This window comes from Homo sapiens, chromosome 1 (assembly GCF_000001405.40).
Source record: "Homo sapiens chromosome 1, GRCh38.p14 Primary Assembly".
In the NCBI taxonomy this organism is placed as follows: domain Eukaryota; kingdom Metazoa; phylum Chordata; class Mammalia; order Primates; family Hominidae; genus Homo; species Homo sapiens.
The window spans coordinates 183,211,433-183,233,492 of record NC_000001.11 but is presented as its reverse complement, the minus strand read 5'-3'; the positions used below and the strand labels follow the sequence as shown (position 1 = coordinate 183,233,492).

Sequence of the window (22,060 nt, the reverse complement as noted above, 5' to 3'; positions counted from 1 at the left end):
CATTATTGTTACCATAACCTTCTTTATTCAGAAATAGAAGAGTGCTCAATCAAATCTCTCCCTCCTACCACATTACAAACTACATCAAGAAAATCATACTGGCAGCATTTTTTTCCCATTTTCAAAACCATGTCTTCCTTCCTTCCTTCCTTCCCTACTCTCTTCCTTTGTTCTTCTTTCCCTCTGTCCCTTCCTCCATCCTTTCTTCCTTCTTTCCTTCCTTCCTTTTTCATTCATTCATTCATTTATCCATTCATTCATACACTAGAAATTTACCACAGCTATACACTGTGTTGTAGGCTGAGAAAGTAAATATGAACTAAAGTAAATCCTGCCCTCTGGGAGCTAACAAGCTAGGAGATATGCAGAAGGGAGGTGAGGCAGGGCCAAGATGAGGATGTAGTTAGAAATAAATGAACTTAGGAGAAGAACATAATGCAGTAAAATAGGAAACTTCAGAAGGCCAAAGACATAAATAGATGTGACTGTTGCAAGGAAAAGAAGTCCAACAACCTGTCAGGTAGATCAGAAACAGAAAGTGAGCCACTGAGAGACAGAAATTGAGTCAGTGAGATCTACAAGTAGGTCTCCCAACACAGCAGTATTCTCAATACTCTAGCCCAGCAAAAACCTACAGTGTTTCCCAAGGAAGCTTCACTTTCTGCCAGGCTCAGCTGCATCTGAGTGATGAGCCTGTGAGTATCCCGAACTCGGTTCTGGTACTGACTTCCCAGAGCCCGAACTCTTTCCACAGTCATCTTGAGGTCATCCAGGCGGCTCTGGTAGCTGTTCTCTTGGCTCCTCACCTTGGCCAACTGGAGACCAAGGGATCTGCTAGCACCTGAACGCAAAGAAGGAAAGGGAGCATGAGCACTTTCTGGGTCAGCATAGAGTTAGCAAACATAACGGAGGGTTGACTGGCTTATGGTCAAATGACAAAAACCCAATAGAGAAATGCATCCAACCATTCTTTTATCACCATCATTCAGATCCCAGGGGGAATGCCACAGACAGTCCTTCCACTTCTGCAAGGGCTGGCTGGAGATAACTGCTGAACTGATATCCATAGAAGATTCTATGACCTAACGTAGCCATTCCTTCTAGGACTATGAATTCTCTTCTGTCTGAAGGGAAGTTGGCCTTCATCACCTTCTGAAATCTGGGCATCTCTCAGAATGTCCTGAAGGGCCTGCTCAGCCTGCTGCATCCTGCCTTCCAGCTCTGTATCAGGTACTACTCCATCACCACCCTGAGCCTTTGAAATCAGGGCCTCCATTCTCTGAAGCTGCTGCATAAACTGATCCATCTGAAACCACACAGGAAAGATCAGAACGAGGGTGGAGACCATGTACCCAAGGGATCATCCAATACCAGGTACCCAGGGGATAATACTAAAAGTCCAGAAATGCTTAGCATGTCATGGTGGTTAAAATTTTAGACCCTGGAGCCTAGAGAGTCCTTGAGTTTGAATCCTGGCCTCACTACTCACTAGCTGTATGACCTTGGGCAAGTCACTTTCTTTATCTATAAAATTAGGATAATGAAAATAAGAATAGTGTCTCCTAAAGTTATTACTTGGACTACCTGGGTTAACATCTATAAAGCTCAAAATGCAGTTAATATTTGTAAAGTGAAAGCAGTTGCAAGCTAGAGACAAGAGAACAGTGCCTGACACAAAGGAAGTGCGTAAAAGGCTTGTTAAATAGATCAGTTTGAAAAACAAGTTGAGTTTGCTCTACATTTGGAGTTCTGTTTGGGCCTTTGTCTTCCCCAATCCTCATTCCAGGAAGAAAAATAGTTAATAATTAACAAGAACATCAAGTTCATTCTTCTCTGTAATTCAAATGAGAAATTTCTGGAGGCCATTCCTTTTTGGGAAGCCTTGATACTTTCTGGACTCCTGATATCTTTTATGTTTATGTTTTTCTTCATTTGTTTTACAAAGACATCTGTTGAAAAGAAATCGAGCTGGAAAGTGAAATATTATAGTGGGAAGAGCCCTGAACTAAGTTAGGGGACATGGGTGGGATTCCCAGTTCCACCTACCCATATCACTTTGAAAAATTTCAAGTATTTTGAGACTTTATTTGACCAGTGAAAACTGAGGTCAGAATACTTTTCCTTTCAACTCAACTAAGTTATCATGAGTACCAAATGAAACAGTATCTGCAAAAGAGGTTTTGAAAATGGTATATATAAAGACATAAACCTGAAGTATTATCATTATACAGAATTTTTTTAATGCAGCAATTTTTAAAGACAGAAATAGTAATCACTACTCCCATCCTCAGGAGACTAGGAGTGTCCTAGATCTGTGACAGAACCACCCAGTGGACACTTAAGGATTTGATTCTGTGGGGTTGGGGGTGGTAAGGGGAAGAATGCATACCTGAATCTTCACTTGATTATAGCAAGCTGGACAGCTGAATGCTCCATGCTCACAGTTGGGGCCACCAAATCCTGGCTTGCAAACACAGGTGCCATCACTTCGACATCCTACAGGCTCTGAGCCCATGGGGTTACAGTTGCAAGCTAGAGACAAAAGACAAATGGAGCATTCACATCAAACTAGTCTAGAAAGTGGAGGTAGAGCAAAGATACAAGGAAGGAGATCAAGCCTCCAACAGCAGAGAATCCTTTTATACCTCCATGCACCTTCTTAATACAGATAGGTCTTAGGAATCATGTGGCAGGTTTGCCTGGTGTGTGTGGATGCAGGGAGATTACAGCCTTTCTGGCAGCACTCATTTTCCTCCCCCTGTTAAACTAAAAGCCTATTAGATATTCTGCAAGCACTCTGGCTTTGCTTTCAAGGTGAATAACATTTCTTCTGGGCCCATTACGTGCCAGATGTAGACATCCCCCTCTATTTTGCAGATGAGGAATGTGAGCTCAGGGAAGTTGACTAATTTGCCTGAGGTTACATGGCAAGTAAATGGCAAGCTACAATGAGAGGTCAGGCAGAGCCAATGTTCTTTCCTCTGTTCTGCGGCCTTTGGTGTAGGAAATACAGTTAAGAAAGCAATACCTTTACTCATTCAACCAAATTGATTAAGCCAGGTTCTGTTATAGGAGTTAAGGATATGATAGTGGGTGAGACACTTCTCTGATGATTACAGTGATTCTCTGAGTTGTTCTATCTTCAGTGCTCACAAAACGCTGATTACGTATCTAAGTGTGTTATCATTATTTGCATACATATTTGTGTATCTTCCTTATTATCATACGGACTCTTCGAGAGTTGGGATGACTTATTCACCATTATGGCCTCAGTATCTAGGTCCACACTGGGTACATGGTATGTGCTTGATAAAGGATGGTTGAGTGAAGAAATGTGTGGTGTAAAGCCAGTGAAATTTCTGTTAGTAACCTAGAATTACAGCTAAAACTAAAGACAGAATATAGTTAGAATATATAACTAGAATTATAGTGTTTATAGTGTGCTTTCTTGTATCCACCACTTCGAGTTAAATATTAATCACACATATAAGGAAACTGAGGCTTAGAGGGATTAATTGGCATAATTAGCATAATATAATAGGTATGTTACAAAACTGGACTTGAACTCAGTCCTGTTGGTGTCATATGGGCTTTTCCTCTCATAAGGTGCTTTCTAGCATATCACAGCTAACCCAGAGTTTGGGGTCTGGGCTGGTCTGGCCTAGAATTCCTGAAGGGATTTGTACCACTAAGTAGAAGCCTCAGGTTGCAGAGGTCCTCAAGCACTTCAAGGTGGAGACTCTGGTGTGAGTGGGAGGCTGTGAGCTCCATGCAAACCTCTGGGTCTTCATGAGGAACCAAGAGTCTTCCAACCTGGGTGTCCAGAGTGGCTCTGGACTTTTTTTTTTTTTTTTTTTGAGATGGAGTCTTGCGCTGTTGCCCGGCTGGAGTGCAGTGACATGATCTCGGCTCACTGCAACCTCTGCCTCCTGGGTTCAAGAGATTCTTGTGCCTCGGCCTCCTGAGTAGCTGGGATTACAGGCACCCACCACCACGTCCAGCTAATATTTGTATTTTTAGTAGAGATGGGGTTTCACCATGTTGGCCAGGCTGGTCTTGAACTCACAACCTCAGGTGATCCACCCACCTCAGCTTCCCAAAGTGCTGGGACTGCAGGTGTGAGCCACCATTCCCGGCCCCATTCTGGACTTTATAAACAAAGTTAGGGTAAACAAACTCCTGAGTTCTGGGCACCAAGGTCAGCCTGGGACTGAGGGGTGAGTCTGTGGGGCAGGCCAGCTCCTCTAGAACTGAACTTGCCTCTAAAATATAACATGTGCAAAGATTTGAAAGAAACGCTGGGCAAGAGGACCAGTCTGCACATTCATGCTTTGATCTGCAGCAGGCCTCAGGAATGCTCCACTATAGCTGCTGCTTTGAAGCTGTCTTGTTAGGAGAACTGTTGACTGTTACCTTTCTACACATCAATTACGCTGACTTCCTGAGAGAGTCTCTTAAACTATTTTACAGCCCACTCCCCTTCCCACTTGAGTTTGCTTAGGCTTACTCTCAAGTCATTTATTACTCTCCTACAACAGGTTTGGCAGCCACTTCCCTGCCTCCCTGCCTTGGGATTGGGCATAGGATGTGGCCCCGTGTTACATCCTTTTCCGCGTAGGAATGTAAACCTGACCTTTTTCACTTCTCCCACCCAGCTTTAACCCAGCTCTGTCTTCCAGAGCCTGGCTACAGGGTAAACCTGTCTTAAGGCCTTTGACAGAGGAAGAAAGGCCCAGGGTGCTCACAGGCCAGTTTGGTCAGAGAATCAAAGTAACATCATGATATGAACTGCCATTGTCCCTGCTTAGATGGCAAGCAAGTGCATACGTACACAGGCACGCACAGACACAGCCTGCCTGGGGTGGAGTCCTACCTCGACACTTGTCTGCTGGGTTGGGAGCCAATGGGTCCCCGAAGTAGCCTGCTTTGCACTGGTCGCAGTAGATGCCGGCTGTGTTGTGGATACACTTCAAACACCTGCCTGTCAGCCGGTCACAATTCCCAGAGGCACTGGGGTCCACATTGTTGTTGCATTGACAGGGCTGACAAGGCCTCACTGGGCCATGTTCACCAAAGGGGTCCCCAAAGTAGCCATCAGCACAGAGCTCACAGCGGGCACCTGGGAAGGAACAAATGACCAAGCCTAGGTCGACATCCATCAGGAGGAAGACCAGACGCAGAGGCCTAAAGTTGCGAGTCACCCTCTAGAAGAGCCAGAGAAATGTGCTTCCCTAGGGACCCCAGAACAAAGCCCTCAGGAGCAGGCATGCAAGGCAGGGCTGGCCCTCTCTCTCCATGCCCACTGCAGGTTGCAGAACACAGTAGCGCCACTAGGAGGCTTAACTAGCTGGCTGGGAAAAAGCAGGCAGCTCCACAGAAGTAGTAAGGTTTTGAGCAATACCCCCAAAACTGCTGCTGAAGAATCCATTCTTCTTTCAGATTGACCAGCAGAAGGATGTGACATTTAAGAAGTCACTAAGTTTTCCCTCGTTATCTTAGTTCATTAAGAAACAAACCATGTGCTTGGTCTGAAAATGTCATCTTCTAATGACAAACCTCTCAAAACAGCTTTAGGTGTTTTCTCCCATAATTGCACTCTGCTCTTGCTTAATCCACTTCACCTCTTGGGCATTGCAATATCTTATCTTTAAGATATTATCTTTAGAGTGAGCACATTTGGGTGAACCCGAAGTCATTATAATTTCCTAGGAATTCCTCGGAATGGAAGCTATTTGCACACATTCATGGCATCAGGACAGGAAGAGGCAGGTGGCAGAGCAGACCCATGGCCTTACCGGTGACCCCGGGAGGGCAGTTATTGCACACCACCTCCTCCGTCTCCGGCATCACTGAGCAGCTGAACCCGTTATGACAGGGACATGGCTTGCAGCTGCGGGGGTCGTGCGGATCGTTGTAGAAACCAATTGGGCAGTCAGCACACTCAATGTCAGGATTCTCATCCCCTGAATAACAATCTCCTGGGGGTAGGAGAAGAGTGGAGGGGCAGAGAAGTGAGCAGGGTCAGACAATACATTTCCTTCAACATGGGTCAGAGTGTAGAATGTCAAAGCCTTCCTTTCTGAAGCCTTCCCCAAAGTGCCTGAGCACTGGCATTCACCCCTCCCATAGAACCAAATCTAAACATGGCCAAGACCCTGAATCTCACCCTCACTCCCCTATGCAAAGTAGACACTCACTTCTTTTACTATCCATAACTTAACACTGTTCCCCATGTTCTCTGTGGCCTGACACCATTTGTCGGCACATTCATTTAGACCCGGACTTGTCTTTGATCTCCCCACACAATTCTTGGAACTCGACACCAACTCTTCTACCCAGCACTGAACCATGACGACCATTTCCTGTAACCTGGCACCTTTCTCACAACTTTGTGGCATTTCCACAGTGAAGAGGATTGAGTGTAATAAGGCACCATGTCCATCTTCCCTGACTCCAGCTCTGCTCTCCTTAATCCTTTCCCACCTCTGATGTGAGTTCAGCCATGGTCTTTCTTACACAGCTCTCTCTCTTCCACATGACACCCCAGCCACCTGGTCCAGGTGTCATTTCACTCACCTGTGTCTGGATCACAGGCCCCTCCCCCTTGACAGTTACAAGGAATACAGGTGCCAAAAGGCCCCAGTCTCGCTGAATCTCTCTTGTAGCCAGAAGCACAATCCTGGCAGAATTGCCCCTTGTACCCAACAGGACATATACACTGTTCAACCCAGGGTGCTGGGGCTCCAGAGACAGGGCGGGCTGAAATCAGGGTCACATTGTCAATGTACCCAGTACCTGCAATCGAGAGAACAGGTTAGAAGTTGCAAGTGGTACAGTCTAAAGATCTCAAGTCAGATCTCTCTTGGGATTTTATTTTTCTTAACTCCCTAACAAAGACAGGTGGTGTTCATATATCATGCCATGTAGAGAGGTATGGCAGTCTCCCACTGTGACTGAGCACACAGGCTCTGGGGTCAGAAAACCCAGGGCTTAAATTCTGAATCCACCCTCACTAGCTGTGTAAATTGGGCAAGTCACTTAGCCTCTCCATGACTGTGTTTCATCAACTATAGACAAGAAGTAACGGTGGTATTTATCTCTTATGTCCGTTGTGAAAATTAAATTAGATAATTCATATATTATAATCTATCTGGCATACAGTAAGAGTCAATACATTGTTACACCTTTCTGCTTCCGACTTTATTTACTGCATCAGTGACATGGAAATGGTGCATGCTAGCCACGCTTCCTTTTTAGGTGAGTGAGTGCAGAAAAGCTTAAGGAACTCTTGTTAAATAATTCCAGTTGAGATTAGGAGGACCCAACATGTGAAATTCAAAAAAAAAAAAAAAAGGAATTAATAGAATACATGATGACTCAGACAGGCTAGCATGGAGTATAATCTCAAAAGGAAAAGCTGCTCAAGGAATAAATAAGACTGTGTTGTAGGTGCCATTTCCTAGCTAAGGAAATGTGTCCATTTATTGTAGATTATCTTTCTCACTTAATCATCTTTAATAAAAATTCAGTGGCCCTTTTAGCAAGACAGCATCATTTACTCTTCATTGGTGCTGGGTGCTGACATCTTTTTAGAGAAACATTTCTTCTAAAAAAGCTTCTAGAATATAAAAATTCAGATTGAATCAGTGATTCTAAGTCAGGATCATCAAGTAACTTATCTACTTGTTTGGAGACTGCCGCCACCTTAGAGAGCTGAATCAAATTAAACTAACACCTAAGAAGAAAGAAATTAATTTCTCGTAGCCACTTACTGTATTCTCCATATGTAGCTCGGATGCGGAGGGCTGTGAGATTCCGCAGTAACCTTCGATACTCAAAGTAACTCAGCTGGGGGCTCCAATTATTGCTTGGATGCTCATTTAACCTGCATAATTTAAAATCAAAAGCTTTAAAAATCCGATTCTTACCACATACCTACCTGTTATAAATTATGCCTGAGGATACGGGAACAGCTAAGCCCCTTCCCAGTCCTGCTTAGAAGGGGGCATAGGACTGAGAGCCACCTTTTCATAGGCATGTACTTGGACCTTCCTCACTCCATGGGGAGGACAAACCCCAGAGGAAGTGATGGAGGGCATCCCAGTGTGGGAAGTCCAGATCCAGGGGTGACATCACCTGAAACCATGATGATCGCAAGTTCTCAGACACCACTTTCTATTCTTGGCCACCCATAAGCTAGTATTAGGAACATCTCCACGTTCCAGAAGTTCTGATTCTCAAGAGCTACTATTCATTTTTTTTAAAAAAAATCATTTATTTGTTATCTGAGCACATTTTACTTACTTTTTTCAAAAATCAGTTTCCACTTTTACATTGTCCACACTTAATACTTTTTAATTTGGCATCATTTTGGCTCACTGTAACATATCACCAGCCCCTGTGCTGTTCTTCTAAATTTTGTTTTGTTTTTTACTCATCCAGGAACAACCCTACCCACCTTCGTTTCATTCACTGATTTGTTAAATAAAAGTTGACTGTGCACTTGGTTTGGGCTAGAAGCTATGTCAGGCTGGAGGACACAAAGACAACAGGGAGAGATGATCACATCCAGCCAGGGGAGTCAGGTGGGTAGACACAGTTATAATACAATGCCATGAATGCTATAACAGATGCATGCACAGAGTACCATGGAAAAACAAAGTGACTGTAACTTTAGCTGGGATTCTGAGAAGGCTAATACAAAGGAAGAACATGTAAGCTGAATCTCAAAGAGTAAGTTCACAAAGCCTGGAAGGTGGGAACGAGTATTCCAGGCAGGAGAGCTGTGTGTGTGTGTGTGTGTGTGTGTGTGTGTGTGTATCATTAGAACACGTATACTCGGATATTTGATCAATTCTTTGTTTGTGTTCTGTGGGTCTTCTTTTCCCTATTGCCATTACCCCTGCCTTGGGTTAGGCACCTAACCACTCTCAGTTGAGCCACTCTGAATGTGTTCTGATGGTCCAGTTAAGGACCCGACCCAAACTATCATCTATATGGTGCCTGTAGTTGCACCTAGCCTTCACACCTGACGATCACACTTCTTGACTTAACAATCTCTCAATGGCTCTGCATCGTCTTTCCAGCATGGACAAGATCTAAGCTCCTTGACATGACACACAAGGCCCAACATGATGGGTCCTTTTCCAACCTTTGCAAATGTATCTACCCATCTTCCTTATGCATGCTGTATTCCAGCTATAAATATTGCTTGCCAGTTCTCCCCTATATTATGCCTTTCTGCATCCCCACATATATTCACATGTGAAGGTTGCCCTTCTCTGACTTTTCTCCCTGGAAAAGCCCTGTGGACCTTTCCATTCTTAGACCACACATTGCCTCCTCCTGAAGGTTTCCCTGACTCCTCCAGGCAGAATCGGGCACTTTCCAAGACCCCATGAACATGCACCACCCCTAAAGCAATTATCCTACTGTATTATGCTTGCTTTTTGACATGTTATACATTGTACTAGACCATGAGCTCTTGGAAGGCAAAGACCATGTTCCATCTTTATTTCCCAGCCTCCAGTGCACTACTGAGCACTTAGTAGGCACAGCTCCCTTCCCCAACCTCTCTGCAAACACCATGCAGAATCCCTATTCTGCAGGATACTGTGCAATCCCTGTAGACACACACAAAGCCATCCATAAAGTCACTCCCACCTCTTTCTCCTACCTCACTTCTCACTGCACTCCTATCGCCGACTTCATGCTTCACTCGTGCTCAACCACCTGGAATTTTCTAAATGCACAAACCTTCTTCAAGCATTGCATTTCCTCTGCCTTGTTAACCTTTCCTCCCTTCTCTTTCCTTAGAGGGCTGCCTTTCACATTTGTCATGTGGTCCTGGGAAGCTTTCCTTCATCATTCCAGTGTGGGTCAGTCATGCCTCCTTTATGTGCTCAGAACTTCTGTGTCCACCTTGCCTATTTCTGTCCCTTGACAAACTGCACTGTAATTATCTATTCATTTTTCTCTCCCATTAGCCTGTCAGCTGCTTGAGGGAAGGAATCATGTCCTTTCTCAGCACATAGCAACCTTCATGGTACGTAAAAGGTGCTCAGAAAGGCTTGTTGAACAAATGAATGATGATTGAATGAATAAAGAACAAACTTGAACTTCAATCATAGTTTGCTCTAATTGACCTACTTATGGTCTCTCTTTTTACCTGAATGTGTAAGTCTTGGTGAGCCCACAAGGCAGTGTCTTGCCAAGTGGCATCAAGGGAGCTGTGATCCGTAGACCAGCACCTTCCAGAATCACATCATGGGCAGATGGGTGTCTGCCTCCTCTGTCCACACGGTAGTCAAAGGACAGGCTTTGACCATAGCTCACCTGTTGATTCCCAAGAAATTTGGCTGTGAAACAGAGTTTTAAAAGATTGAGATCAGTTGTGAAACTGGAGAGGCAAACACATGCAAGTTTGCACTGGTGTCGGCAATTTCTGTTGAAGTCCTGTGTCATGCTGCCCCAAAACTCCTTGCTAGGAGAGTCAGGACCTGGTACTGGACATGGCTATGACACTTTGGGCTATGAAGGAGGGTTAGTTACTGAAATGATAAGAGGGCCTTGTTATAAGACAATTCCATCTATTAGGTGATTCATGATGTGGCCCTTATGACAGACTGTTTTGTAAAAATCCCAGGCCTATCAGCATAGCACAACTTGTTACATAATGCTTTAGTTGACAGAATGCCTTCACAAATATCATCACATTTGCTGGCAATAATTCTGGGAGGCAGACATTAGTATTCCCATTTAACAGTAGAGAAAACTGAAGTTCAGAGAAGTTAAGAGAACAACTTGCCCAAGAATCACATATGAGCTAAGGAAACGAACTGGGATCGGAATTCTAGCCAGCGCTTTTCCACCAAGGCACGTACCACTGATTGATTTTTTTTTTTTTAACTTACAGGTATTTGAAGTTTTAAGAAATGCTTTGTTTTTGCTTTCCACCTACTTCTCAATAGACCCATAGGTTTGGCCACAGTCCTTGGTTTCTTGCCTTGGTGGTAAACGTAGAAACTTCCCATTTGATTAAAGGAGGTAGCTCAACCAGGGTCTGACCTCTGGGACACCACATTCTGCTCTGTTGGGCCATTCCTTAGTGACTCTCAAATCAGGCTTAGCCCCCATCTCTCTTCTGGGGTTGCACTACCCGGAGATGCTGCTACCCTGAACCCAAAGTTATATGGTTTCCACAATTTCTAACTCAATTTCTCTATCTTGACTTCCTAGTCCTATAAGCTGGCCTCTATAGGAGACATTATTCCTCACATACCAGGAGCCACAAAATAGACAGGGTCTAGTCGTTGGGCTGAGCTAAACACATCTTGATGGCGCTGTGACCATTGGAGCTTTGCAGGAGACCCATTTCGTTGGACAGCCTTCCAGCCATCAACATCTGGAACACAAACATAATCAGTCTGCATTGGACAAGCCCTCATCATCTATTAAGTTAAACAAAGAAAGATTTGCTTGCCGACAAGTCCTAGTGGTGAGTAGAAAGTGGGGTTTTCTCAATATTTCCACATTTGCAAATGGTCCTTAAAATTCTGCATGTATCTCTCTATGTGGCTCTCAACTTCACCTGCTCCCATCCCGCAGCTGCTATGATTTCTCATCTTTGAGTCTGACTCGTGATAAGATAGCAGGTTTTCTTCTGCCTGTAATTTGCATTTTTTTGTATTTATATAAAAAGCTCTCACCTTAATGAAGTGAGAGGGTCCAGTCTTTTCATTTTTTTTTCATTTGTTTTTTTTTTAAGACGGAGTCTCGCTCTGTCACCCAGGCTGGAGTGCAGTGGCGCGATCTCGGCTCACTGCAAGCTCCGCCTCCCGGGTTCACGCCATTCTCCTGCCTCAGCCTCCCGAGTAGCTGGGACTACAGGTGCCCACCACTACGCCCGGCTAATTTTTTTGTATTTTTAGTAGGGACGGGGTTTCACCATGTTAGCCAGGATGGTCTCGATCTCCTGACCTCGTGATCCACCTGTCTCGGCCTCCCAAAGTGCTGGGATTACAGGTGTGAGCCACCACGCTTGGCCCGGGTCCAGTCTTTTCAAAGGGAAACTCAGACTTAATGTTGAAATAATATCAGTTTCCAATATTTTTATAGTGTTCTGTAGCTTGGGAACTAATTTCACATAAATCAGCTCATTTATTATATGTGAAAACAGCATTATTAGTGAACGTGAATTCCAGGAAGACTCATACACTCTCCAAACCAAATGAATGATTCCTTCGTGGTTTTGAAATAGATGGGGATGGAAAATTCAGGGAAATAAAAATCTAGTCTCTTTTTTAGTTATTCTTTTAAGTTATATTCACTAGTATGAATGAACTATTTTCAGCCTATGACTTTTTCAAGACATCAGGATATGCCTGAGTGCCCTGACAAAATAATGTACATTCAATACTATAAGAGAATTTCTAAAGAGAATCCATCCTGTGAATGCGGAGGTGGTTGTCTCTAAACACAAAGCCCTGTACAACATTAAAAAACTAAAACCTAGAAAATAGAAGGCTTTACCTTGATGAAAGGTAGAGGTGATCTTATGGACACTGTATTCTGCAGAGCTGCGGCAGCTGGCTGAATGCCCATAGCAGAAACACTGGGTACAGCCCTCAGGGTTCCCCCCATCCAGATTATAGTAACCTGATCGACACCTGCAGTGGCATTGTAGAAATCAGGATATTATAGGTTATTTTTTATTCTATAGAAAAAATATGATGAATGAGTCAGCCTCTCTACCTTCTCTTCCATTTGGCCCTATTAATTTTCAGAGGAGGGAAATACCAGATTTTGCATATCACCCCCACCCCCAGACCACCAGATGGACAATCACGACCCCCCTAAATTAGACGGCATAAGAAACATTCACTTTCTGTTCCTTTGTAGAACAGAGCCACATTTGTCTTGGTGGTCTGGCATCTGAGTAGTCGGCCAGTCCTTGGTAGGAAATTGAGTGGTGGTCAGATGAGCAGAATGGGTGTGGGCAGGGCTATGCAATGCTGCCCTGTCCTGGAGCTACTGTTTAATGGTGACAAAGACTGGGAGGTGGGGACCAGGAAAGGTGAGGCTCCTGCCTCAGCACCACTCAGCTCTATTGACCCCCTCCCCAAGACCACTTAGGTATTGATCCCCATCTCTGACTCTTGTACCTGGGCTCTGGCTCACTGGGGAAAAGGGCAGGTGAGGATATGACAAAGAAAAAGGATGGCTAAGACACTCTCCAAAAGCCAGGTGTAAGCTTGCATTCCACCTCTGCTCCCAGCTCAATCCCTCCAGTGGCTTCTATAAGAACCACGACTAACAGGGGCATCCTCGATGCTGGAGTCACAGAGAAGAAGGCAGGGGAAGCTGGGGAGGACTTGTTTGTCCTCTGCTCAAGTTAACTACATCCTTCCACATGAAATAATGTGAAATAACGATAGTTTCAATGATTATTTATTTAGCACTTATGTTGTGCCAGGCACCTTGTGTGTGTTCTCTCATTTAACCTCCCTCCAACCCTATGAGGAATTGCTATTTCCAATTTTCTTAGATGAGGAGACTAAGGCCAAGAGGTTAAGAAACTCTTGACATATAGCAGGTACATGGCTGAGGCAAGATTGAAATTCATGTACATCTGTCTCCAAATCATGTAGTCTAAGCCACTGCACCACATGTTGGGGGGAATGTTCTGAGTACAGTATCACAGAAAAGCAGGGTAGCTGTGAAGAGCAGGTGCTTCAGAGAACAGTTGTAACTAAACAAGCTTTGTTTTTTCTCTAAGAGCAAGAGTTAAAAGAATTATTATGGTTTCTATGGAGAAGAAACCTGCTGATTAAAAGAGCTTAAAAAAACAAGGAAGGATGGGAGGGGAGGAGTGGGGAGGGAAGACAAAAGAAGGGAAAGGAAGGGAATTAGGCAAAACTAAATGATTGTGTTTAGGAACACACTGGGGTCATAAATTATGAAGCAAAGAAAGAAAGCGATTACCATAAAAGTCAGAATAGTGGTCACTTCTAGGGAGGAGGGGGGCATTGTCACTGGGACGCAGTTTTAGCAGAGGTCTATTTCTTACCATTGGTGGTGATAACATTTCTTTTATGTGGCATTCTATTTCTGTCTTTTATTTTGAAATTAAAAAGGCTTTCAACAAGTGACTTCCTTTTTAACACTTAAACTTTATGTCCCTGCCTTCACCTCAGCAGCCAGAAACCCCTGAAAACACAAGCTAGGAGTGTATTTGACATTTCCTCTGTGCAGGTATAAGTGACTGGCAGGGTGCCAAAGAACTGCTTTCTTACTTTTAAGGAAATGAGGAGGAAGCCTTTGCTTCTGACGCCAGCCTCACAGCCCTCTGCTCAACAGCCTCTGGGAGGGAAGAGTTTAAAGCCAGAGCACAGTTGTACTTAAGGCACGTCCTGCACCGGCAGCTTGGGGGGATGGTGCCTCACTGCTCCACCTCCTCCAGTGTGGCTTGGCCCAAAGGGCTCTTACCTCCTCCCAGCCCCATGCCCATTCATGTGTGTGCATGTAACTGCCATCCTATCCCCAGGGCAGTGCCTCTTCTGTACACGATGGTTATATATGGCCATATGCTGTGATAGGCCCTCTTACAAGAATTTTCGCAGCATGTTTAATTAGGCCAGGCCTTTCCTGCAACCAGCCTGTGTCCCAGGATCTCACTATTGATTACTGCCTCATACAGAGCACCTGGGATTTGGAGCCAGCTGGTGGGAGGAATCTCTGGGGTCCTGTGCCTCTCCCAAAGTCAAAATAAAGAGAGGGTGCCCAGAGCAGAGTATGGAGTCCAGTGAGATTTGGGTGCTCAGTGTGTGTGTGTGTTTTTGCTGTTGTTGTTGTAAAAGCTTAGTTTTTGAGGACAGAGAGCAGGAAGAAGGTCATCAACGTTTGTCAAGTATCCCTTTTCCATAATTACACTCGGAGGATTAATTCTCATGCTAGTTGGCAAGGGACTCTCTCTGCTGTTTGTAGGGCCACGGTTCACACAGACCTATCACAGCGTTCTCCAGTGACAGCTGGCTTGCAGACACAGCGGCCCGCGTCACAGGGCCCTGCGATGCCAGCTGGGTCACAGTCACACTTGGAGTCTCTGGGGAAGAAGAAAAAGAAAATTAGGGACATGCTTCCAAATGCTTCACAACTATGCACATAAAAATCAACTGCTCATGAGCAAACATCACGAAGCTGGGCAGTCCTTCTTCGATGAGGCTTCTCCTAGCCATCCTCGCCCGTGCGGACCTCTCTCACACACTTAAGGACTCACTTGCCTACACAGTGCTGCTCAGAGTGTACTTGGTGGGTAGCAGCTGGGCCGAGAACTGTCTGCCACTCCTAAAGAGAGCAGGGGTTTGTGCCAGAATGTAAACCAAGTTCATCACTCAACTGTTTAGTTTACTTTGGTTCACTGTTTGGCTCAGTTTACATTTTTTAAAAAAATTATCATTTGTTTCCCTATTGTTTAATTAAATGATGTCTGCTTTTTATCATGATTAATTCCATCTACCTGCTATTTTATTCCATTCAGTTCTTTCTGTTGGTAATTCCTCAATTGAGATATAATTCATATGCCATGCAATTCACCCATTTAAAATGTACAATCCAATGGTTCTTAGCTGATTCTCAGAGTTGTACAGCCATCACCGTCAATATTAATTTTAGAACATTTTGATCATTCCGGAAAGAAATCCTGTGCCCTTTAGCAGTTGTGTCCCCCACCCTGCCACATCTCTTCCCTCCAGTCCCACCTCCAGCCCTCGGCAGCCACCAGTCTACTTTCTGTCTCTCCAGACTTGCCTATTCTAGACATTTCCTATCAATGGAATTATACCATATGTGGTCTTTCGTGACTGGCTTCTTTCACTTAGCATGATGCTTTTGAGGTTCATCTATGTCATAGTATGTGTCAGTACATAAATTCTTTTTGGTGACAGAATACATATATTCTTTTTGGTTACTGTTTTCACTTTTCAGCTATTATGAGTAATGTTGCTGTGAATGTGTGTGTACAAGTTTTTGTGCAGATATCTACCTTCTCATTTCTCTTGGGTGTATACCTAGGAGTGGAATTGCTGGGATTGCTGGGTTTAATAGACTTTTGTTTGTTTGTTTGTTTGTTTGTTTGTTTGTGGCAAGATTTTCTCAATGAAGGTATCAGAGCTTTCACTGAATTCTGGCACAATCTCCCTATCTCATCCATCCCTGCTTCTGTCACCCACTTTGCACGCAATCATGTGTTTTATCTCATTGCTCAAAAACCAAGTTTATTGTCTCTTCTCTACTGATCCGTTCCTCCTCTGCCTGCCCTATGATCCCACCCAAATCCTGCACAAACCTGGAGCACCCTTGACCCCTCCTTCTCCCTCACATTCCTCATCCAGTCACATGCCAAGTCTAGCAATGCTTATGGCTGGAATTTCTTTGCCAATCTTTATCTTTGAATTCTCACGGCCTCCTTCCTTCTTAGCTCCCTCTCTACTGCTTATCTGGACCATCTGACAAACACGTATTCAGCATCTACCGGGTGCTCAGAACCGGGGATGCTAAGAGAAATAGGAACAGTCCCCATTCCATAGGAGTCCTATGCCAGGTCAGGTGTGTGGATCGCAAGGGCAGCAGGCACAGGGCCAGCTGCAGATGCACTGGACATCCTCAAGGTGCCTCTTCCCACTCCAGGCATGGGGACACAGAAGCAAACAAGACAGAGTCACAGGGGGCTTACATTTTAGTGGGAGAAATGGACAAACATGAATAGAAAATAAGATATGGAGTGAAACAGCAGAGTGAGAACACAGAGGGGTGGGACTGCTGCAGGAAGGCCTCTGTGAGGAGATAGTGGGGTGGGGATGGAGCAGGAGGCGCTGCACGGCTTCGGGGAAGGCAGAGCTCTCCAGGATGTGCCAAGGCCACATGCACTTGGCTCTTTGAAGAAGGGAAGGAAAGCTATTGTGGCTTCCCTGCGGAGTGCAGGGAGCAGGGAGGAAAGTGACGAGAAACCAAGCAGGCACCTAGGCTGAGGGTGGAGAGGGAGGAGGACCTTGCAGGACCTTGATAAGTTTTATCTCATTCTGAATTGGGGCGGGGAGGCGGAGCTAACAGAGGGTTATGTTTTAAAAGGGTTACAAAGGAGGAGTGGGGCAGGGGTGATCTCTGAAGACCATCTGAAAGGGTCAGGGAAGGCCGGACCAGAACAAATGCCAAGAGAGTATGACAACTTGGGACCTTGACAACTGGGACAATGCAGTATGGCTGGAGGGCAGCTCCTGTCCCAGCAAGGAGCCAGCAAAGTGGGCAATGGGACGCGCCTCCTCTGTGGGAGCCTTGCTAGCCAATGCCCAATGCTTCACTGCCAAGCCCCTGCCAAGCCATCCCAACACTTGCCAGCTCTGCATCTCTGCAGATTGGTTATGTGACATTTAATGCATGCTCATCTTCCAAAAAATATCCGAGCAGGGATACAGGATATTCCAAACTAAAGGGGATCAAGATTATGCAGAACAGTTCCACCCAAATTCACTGGGGCCAAAATGGGTCCCAGGTTACTTGAAGGACTTGTTGCCTCCCTTCCAGTTCATCTAGAGGGAAGCAATTGCCAGAGAAAAGGACATAGGCTCTGGACCCAAAACTCTGAGCTTAAGTATTAGGTCCAGCCTCACCGGTAACATCAGGCAACTTAACCTCATATGGTTTAAGTTTTTTATCTTTGAAATGCATATAATGATAATCCCAACCTCTTAGGGGTATTGTGAGGATTAAAGTAGATAGCCCAAATGATGTACTCTCAAAGCAGTGTTTGGCACAGGGTAGGGGCTCAGTAAATACAAGTGTTTGCTAAGGTTTATATAATTGTCATCACTGAGTTAGTGACAGCCATGGTGGGATGCAAATACTCACAGCAGTCTCTGGTCTTGGGTGCACCCCGCATCCGTGAGCATGTGGAAGCCTGGCAGACATCGGTCGCATCTGGCTCCTGTCACACCTGGTTTACAGCTGCACCGTCCGGAGTTGTCACATCGAGCACTAAGAGAACCTGAAACCCACAAGGTAGGGGAAAGGAAAGAAGAAGAAGAAATATTTTAATGTATGCGGCATTGGAAGCAACTATCACCCTATGGGTGCTCCGTAAACACGAAGTAAGAAGCACCATCTGCTGCTTTTAACAGTCACTTCACATCGCCTGCGTGTCACCGGGGATGGTGCTGACAGCTGAGGATGTCTTCCTCAGGGAGAGGAATTAAATTACTCATAAAAGCATTTGTCTTTGTCTGCTCTGATTGTGACAGTAGGTAGCATATTGCTCACTGCTTTTTAAAAGAAGTCCATCAAATCTTTAAGATCTCAAGGAAAATTTGTGAATGAGCACATTGGCCTCCTAGAAGAGAGTTTGTATCTGAAAGTGAGCAGCATTCTCCCTTATCCCTGGCAGGCAAAGTCATCTTTTAAGGGTCAGTGCTTATGTGGTATGATTTTTAAGAGCATAAAAAGGGCTATTAACCAAAACTATCCACCTGCCAGGAGTGCTAGAGAGTGTCCCCTGTGGTACGCCCCCAAGTGAGATGTACCCTGTGTGCCTTACTTAGGGGACTGTACTTGTCTTATGATTCCACTTTTTACAGATATGCTCCTAGTTGTAAATGGGTCCTCTCAGATTGAGTGTTCATGAAAAACTCAGGGCAACAAAATGTGTCACTGTGGGATGCTGCCAGGTCTCACCACCTGCCTTTCCACACTCACTCCCATTCCAGCTCCACCTTCTCTCACCCAGGCCCTGCCTTGCACTCTCCTCCCTGCCTCCATCCTTGCCTCTCCACACTCCACAGAGAAGCCAGGATATTCTTTAAAAATGTAATTCGATAGTTAGGTCCTCCAGTGGCCCCCACTCTAAGCAGAATAAGATGCCAACTTCATATCATGATCTGCAAGACCCTACCTCTCTTACCTCATCTCCTACCCTCCTTCACTAGGTTCCAGCGACCCAGCTCTCTTGGTTCAGGCAAAGTGCTAAGCAGCTTCCCTCAAGGTATTTGCACTTGCTGCTCCCTCAGTCTGGAATGCTCTTTCCTCAGACTTCCCCTAGTTGGCACATTCTCAGCACTCAGGTCTTGATTAAATATTACTTTTCTAGAGAAATCTTCTCTGACTCCTGCATCTAAAATCCCATCCCACCCCTTCCCCAGTCCTCAGCCCTACTTGACTTAGGATGATCTCACCTTATGTCACCTGCCGTATTCCCACTGCCCAGCATGGTGCCTGACACAAGGCAGGTGCCCAGAAATCTGTTCAACTAATGTGTATATGCCAAGGAGGAGGGCTGAGCTGTTGTGGAAGGAGCTGAGAGAAAGCCAAAAGATGAGGTGGAAGGCTAGCTAGGTACACCTCAGCTACCTTATAATTCCCCTGCAATTCAGTGGAATTGTAAAATAATCTGTATTTTTTTTTTTTTTTGAGACGAAGTTTTGCTCCTGTTGCCTAGGTCAGCAACCTCCACCTTCCGGGTTCAAGCGATTCTCCTGCCTCAGCCTCCCAAGTAGCTGGGATTACAGGCATGCGCCACCACGCCCAGCTAGTTTTGTATTTTTAGTAGAGACGGGGTTTCTCCATGTTGGCCAGGCTGGTCTCGAACTCCCAATCTTAGGTGATCTGCCTGCCTTGGCCTCCCAAAGTGCTGGGATTACAGGCATGAGCCACCGCACCTGGCCATGATCTGTATATCTTTTTTTTTTTTTTTTTTTTTGGCTCACTGCAACCTCTGCCTCCCTGGTTCAAGCGATTCCCCTACCTCAGTCTCCTGAGTAGCTGGGACTACAGGCATGTGCCACCACACCTGGCTAATTTTTTGTATTTTAGTAGAGACGGGATTTCACCATGTTGGCCAGGCTGGTCTCGAACTCCTGACCTCATGATCCACCAGCCTCAGCCTCCCAAAGTGCTGGGATTATAGGCATGACCCAGGGCACCCAGCCTATATCTTAAGTATCTGTAATGATTAGTATCCATAGTCTATGAAGCCAAGGGAACATTGACCAGTCGCTACATGTTTGTTTTTTAAATTTATTATCTTTCTGTGAACTTTTAATTTACTAGTAGAATTCAAATCGATAAAGATATCGGTTCTGTGCCTGTATGAAGACTTTATGCAGCATGTGGAATGTGAAATAAATGAGTCACATTTACAGTTTGAGTCTATGAACATCTACATATCAACTTTGCAAGGCTTGAAGGAGCCTTCAGTGATAATAGCATAAATGACATTTTTTGAGCATCTCCTTAGATGTTGAGTTAGGCACTTTATATGTATTAGCTCACGCTATTTAGTAGTGAATTAAAAGTTCACAGCAGAATAACAGATCAATTTCTGCATAATAGGAACTCTCAGAGGTTTAGGCAGGCAGTGACAAGTTCAGACCTGCACTTAGAAAGAGAACTCTAGAGCAGTCTGCAGGATGGCTTGGAGAAGGCAAGATCAGCATGTCTCCTCCCATGCCATGATGGCCTGGATTAGAGGGGTCTGAGTGAGAAGAGAAGGAGGGAAGCATTGTGAGAGCCACTGTGGATATAGAACAAACAGATTTAGGTGACTCTTGGGTTAGGAATGATGAGGGAGAGAGGATCACATTGATGACACTCAGGTCCCCAGAGTGCACACCTGGCTGGACTGTGATGCTATTTACCAAACCAGGGAAAACAGGAGGAGGACCAAGACCTCAGGTTGAATTATCAAGAGAAGATAATGAGTTTAGTTTTGGGTATATGAACTTGAGTTTCTAGGGGCATATAAAAGGTGGAAATGTTCATCTGGAGCTCAGAGTCTAGAGATGAAGATCTAGGAGCCCTCAACACTCAGGCTGAATAGGAAGCCATAGTAAATGTGAGATCAGTCCAGAAGTAGATGGAGAGAGGAGGGGAAGTGGTGAGGACAGAGATAGAGCCCATCTATTAAGAGAGGATGATTGGAGAGGGAGAAGTCTCAGGGCAGGGTCTAATCAAACAATGAGCAATGGAAGGCAGGGAGGAGAGGTCTAAGGAGGGTGAGGGGAGGAGGAGAGAAGGAAGGTTTTCAGAGCCTAAGGCAAGAGAGCTTTTAAATAAGATGAGAATGAAGAGAGGCTATTTGGTTTGATGTTTAGAGACTTCATGATCATTGCTCTGTGAGTGGTCAGCAGAAGGAAGGAAAATTCCTTTTTGAATAATGCTCTGATAAGTAATGTTAAATAGAAGTCCCTCATGATGAAATTTGGTTGTTTTTAACATGAATGGATGCTGATTTGGGGATCAGAAACACATTTTTTCTGCATCCAAATTTATTACACTTTCAACTTCAGAAAACTCTCCCTGCAGTAGTTTTTCAGAAATGAATTATTTTAATAAAGTGGGGGAAGAAGTAATTCAGGCTCTAACTCTGAATATGACTGACTTATTTCATGTTCCAAAACTTCCAAAATAATAGCACTGGTTCTTCAAAGTCTCACTCAAAAAAAAAACAACCTGCCCCAATTCCCACATCATGAACTGTACTTAGGGATTGTGAACAATTGGTTTTAAAGAATAGATAAGGAATAACTTCCTGTTTCAAATTTGTGTCCCAGTAAGCACATTCATGCTTTATATAGATATAGCCTACATGCATTTGAAGACTCAGGAAGGTATTAAAAAATGATAAATATTTAAAATTTAGGGCCGAGCATGGTGGCTCATGCTTGTAATACCAGCAGTTAGGGGAGACTGAGGCAGGAGGATTTCTTGAGCCCAGGAATTTGAGACCAGCCTGGGCAACATAGACCCTGTCTCCACAAAAAAATAAAAAATTAGTCAGGCATGGTGGAACACACCAGTAGTCCGAGCTACTCAGGAGGCTGAGGCAGGAGGACTGCTTGAGCCCAGGAGTTTGAGGCTGCAGTAAGCCATGATGGAGCCGCTGCACTCCAGCCTTGGCCACAGAGTGAGATCTTGTCTCAAAACAACAACAACAAACCCAATAAAAACAAATAAACAAAACATATAAACAGAGAATTTGCATCCTTTTGAGAACCCTTTTAAAAATATATACACT

General features: G+C 44.7%; 1 protein-coding gene across 5 annotated transcripts in view, besides 2 other annotated features; it reads right to left on the bottom strand.

The window, feature by feature from the left end:
• Positions 1-22,060, bottom strand: part of LAMC2 (laminin subunit gamma 2) — a 72,705-nt gene that overhangs the window by 25,476 nt on the left and 25,169 nt on the right. For all 5 annotated transcript variants that reach the window (XM_047420358.1, XM_047420361.1, NM_005562.3 and 2 more), the window contains exons 3-14: positions 17,905-18,040; positions 15,005-15,103; positions 12,532-12,668; positions 11,282-11,404; positions 10,169-10,358; positions 7,773-7,885; positions 6,577-6,795; positions 5,796-5,978; positions 4,874-5,119; positions 2,390-2,532; positions 1,150-1,306; positions 636-841 (exon numbers count right to left, since the gene is read on the bottom strand). In XM_047420358.1, the coding sequence (XP_047276314.1) occupies positions 636-841; positions 1,150-1,306; positions 2,390-2,532; positions 4,874-5,119; positions 5,796-5,978; positions 6,577-6,795; positions 7,773-7,885; positions 10,169-10,358; positions 11,282-11,404; positions 12,532-12,668; positions 15,005-15,103; positions 17,905-18,040 (1,952 nt within the window). The remainder of the gene's footprint in view (positions 1-635; positions 842-1,149; positions 1,307-2,389; positions 2,533-4,873; positions 5,120-5,795; positions 5,979-6,576; positions 6,796-7,772; positions 7,886-10,168; positions 10,359-11,281; positions 11,405-12,531; positions 12,669-15,004; positions 15,104-17,904; positions 18,041-22,060) is intronic.
• Positions 2,705-2,999: a silencer, noted in NCBI's record as "tiled region #7016; HepG2 Repressive non-DNase unmatched - State 23:Low, and K562 Repressive non-DNase unmatched - State 22:ReprW". NCBI's record gives its function as "represses a minimal TATA promoter and a strong SV40 promoter by Sharpr-MPRA in HepG2 and K562 cells {active_cell/tissue: HepG2 | K562}" and the evidence as "EXISTENCE:reporter gene assay evidence [ECO:0000049][PMID:27701403]".
• Positions 4,767-4,972: a silencer, noted in NCBI's record as "fragment chr1:183197656-183197861 (GRCh37/hg19 assembly coordinates)". NCBI's record gives its function as "represses an EF-1alpha promoter that drives an FKBP-Casp9 reporter gene in an ReSE screen in K562 erythroleukemia cells {active_cell/tissue: K562}" and the evidence as "EXISTENCE:reporter gene assay evidence [ECO:0000049][PMID:32094911]".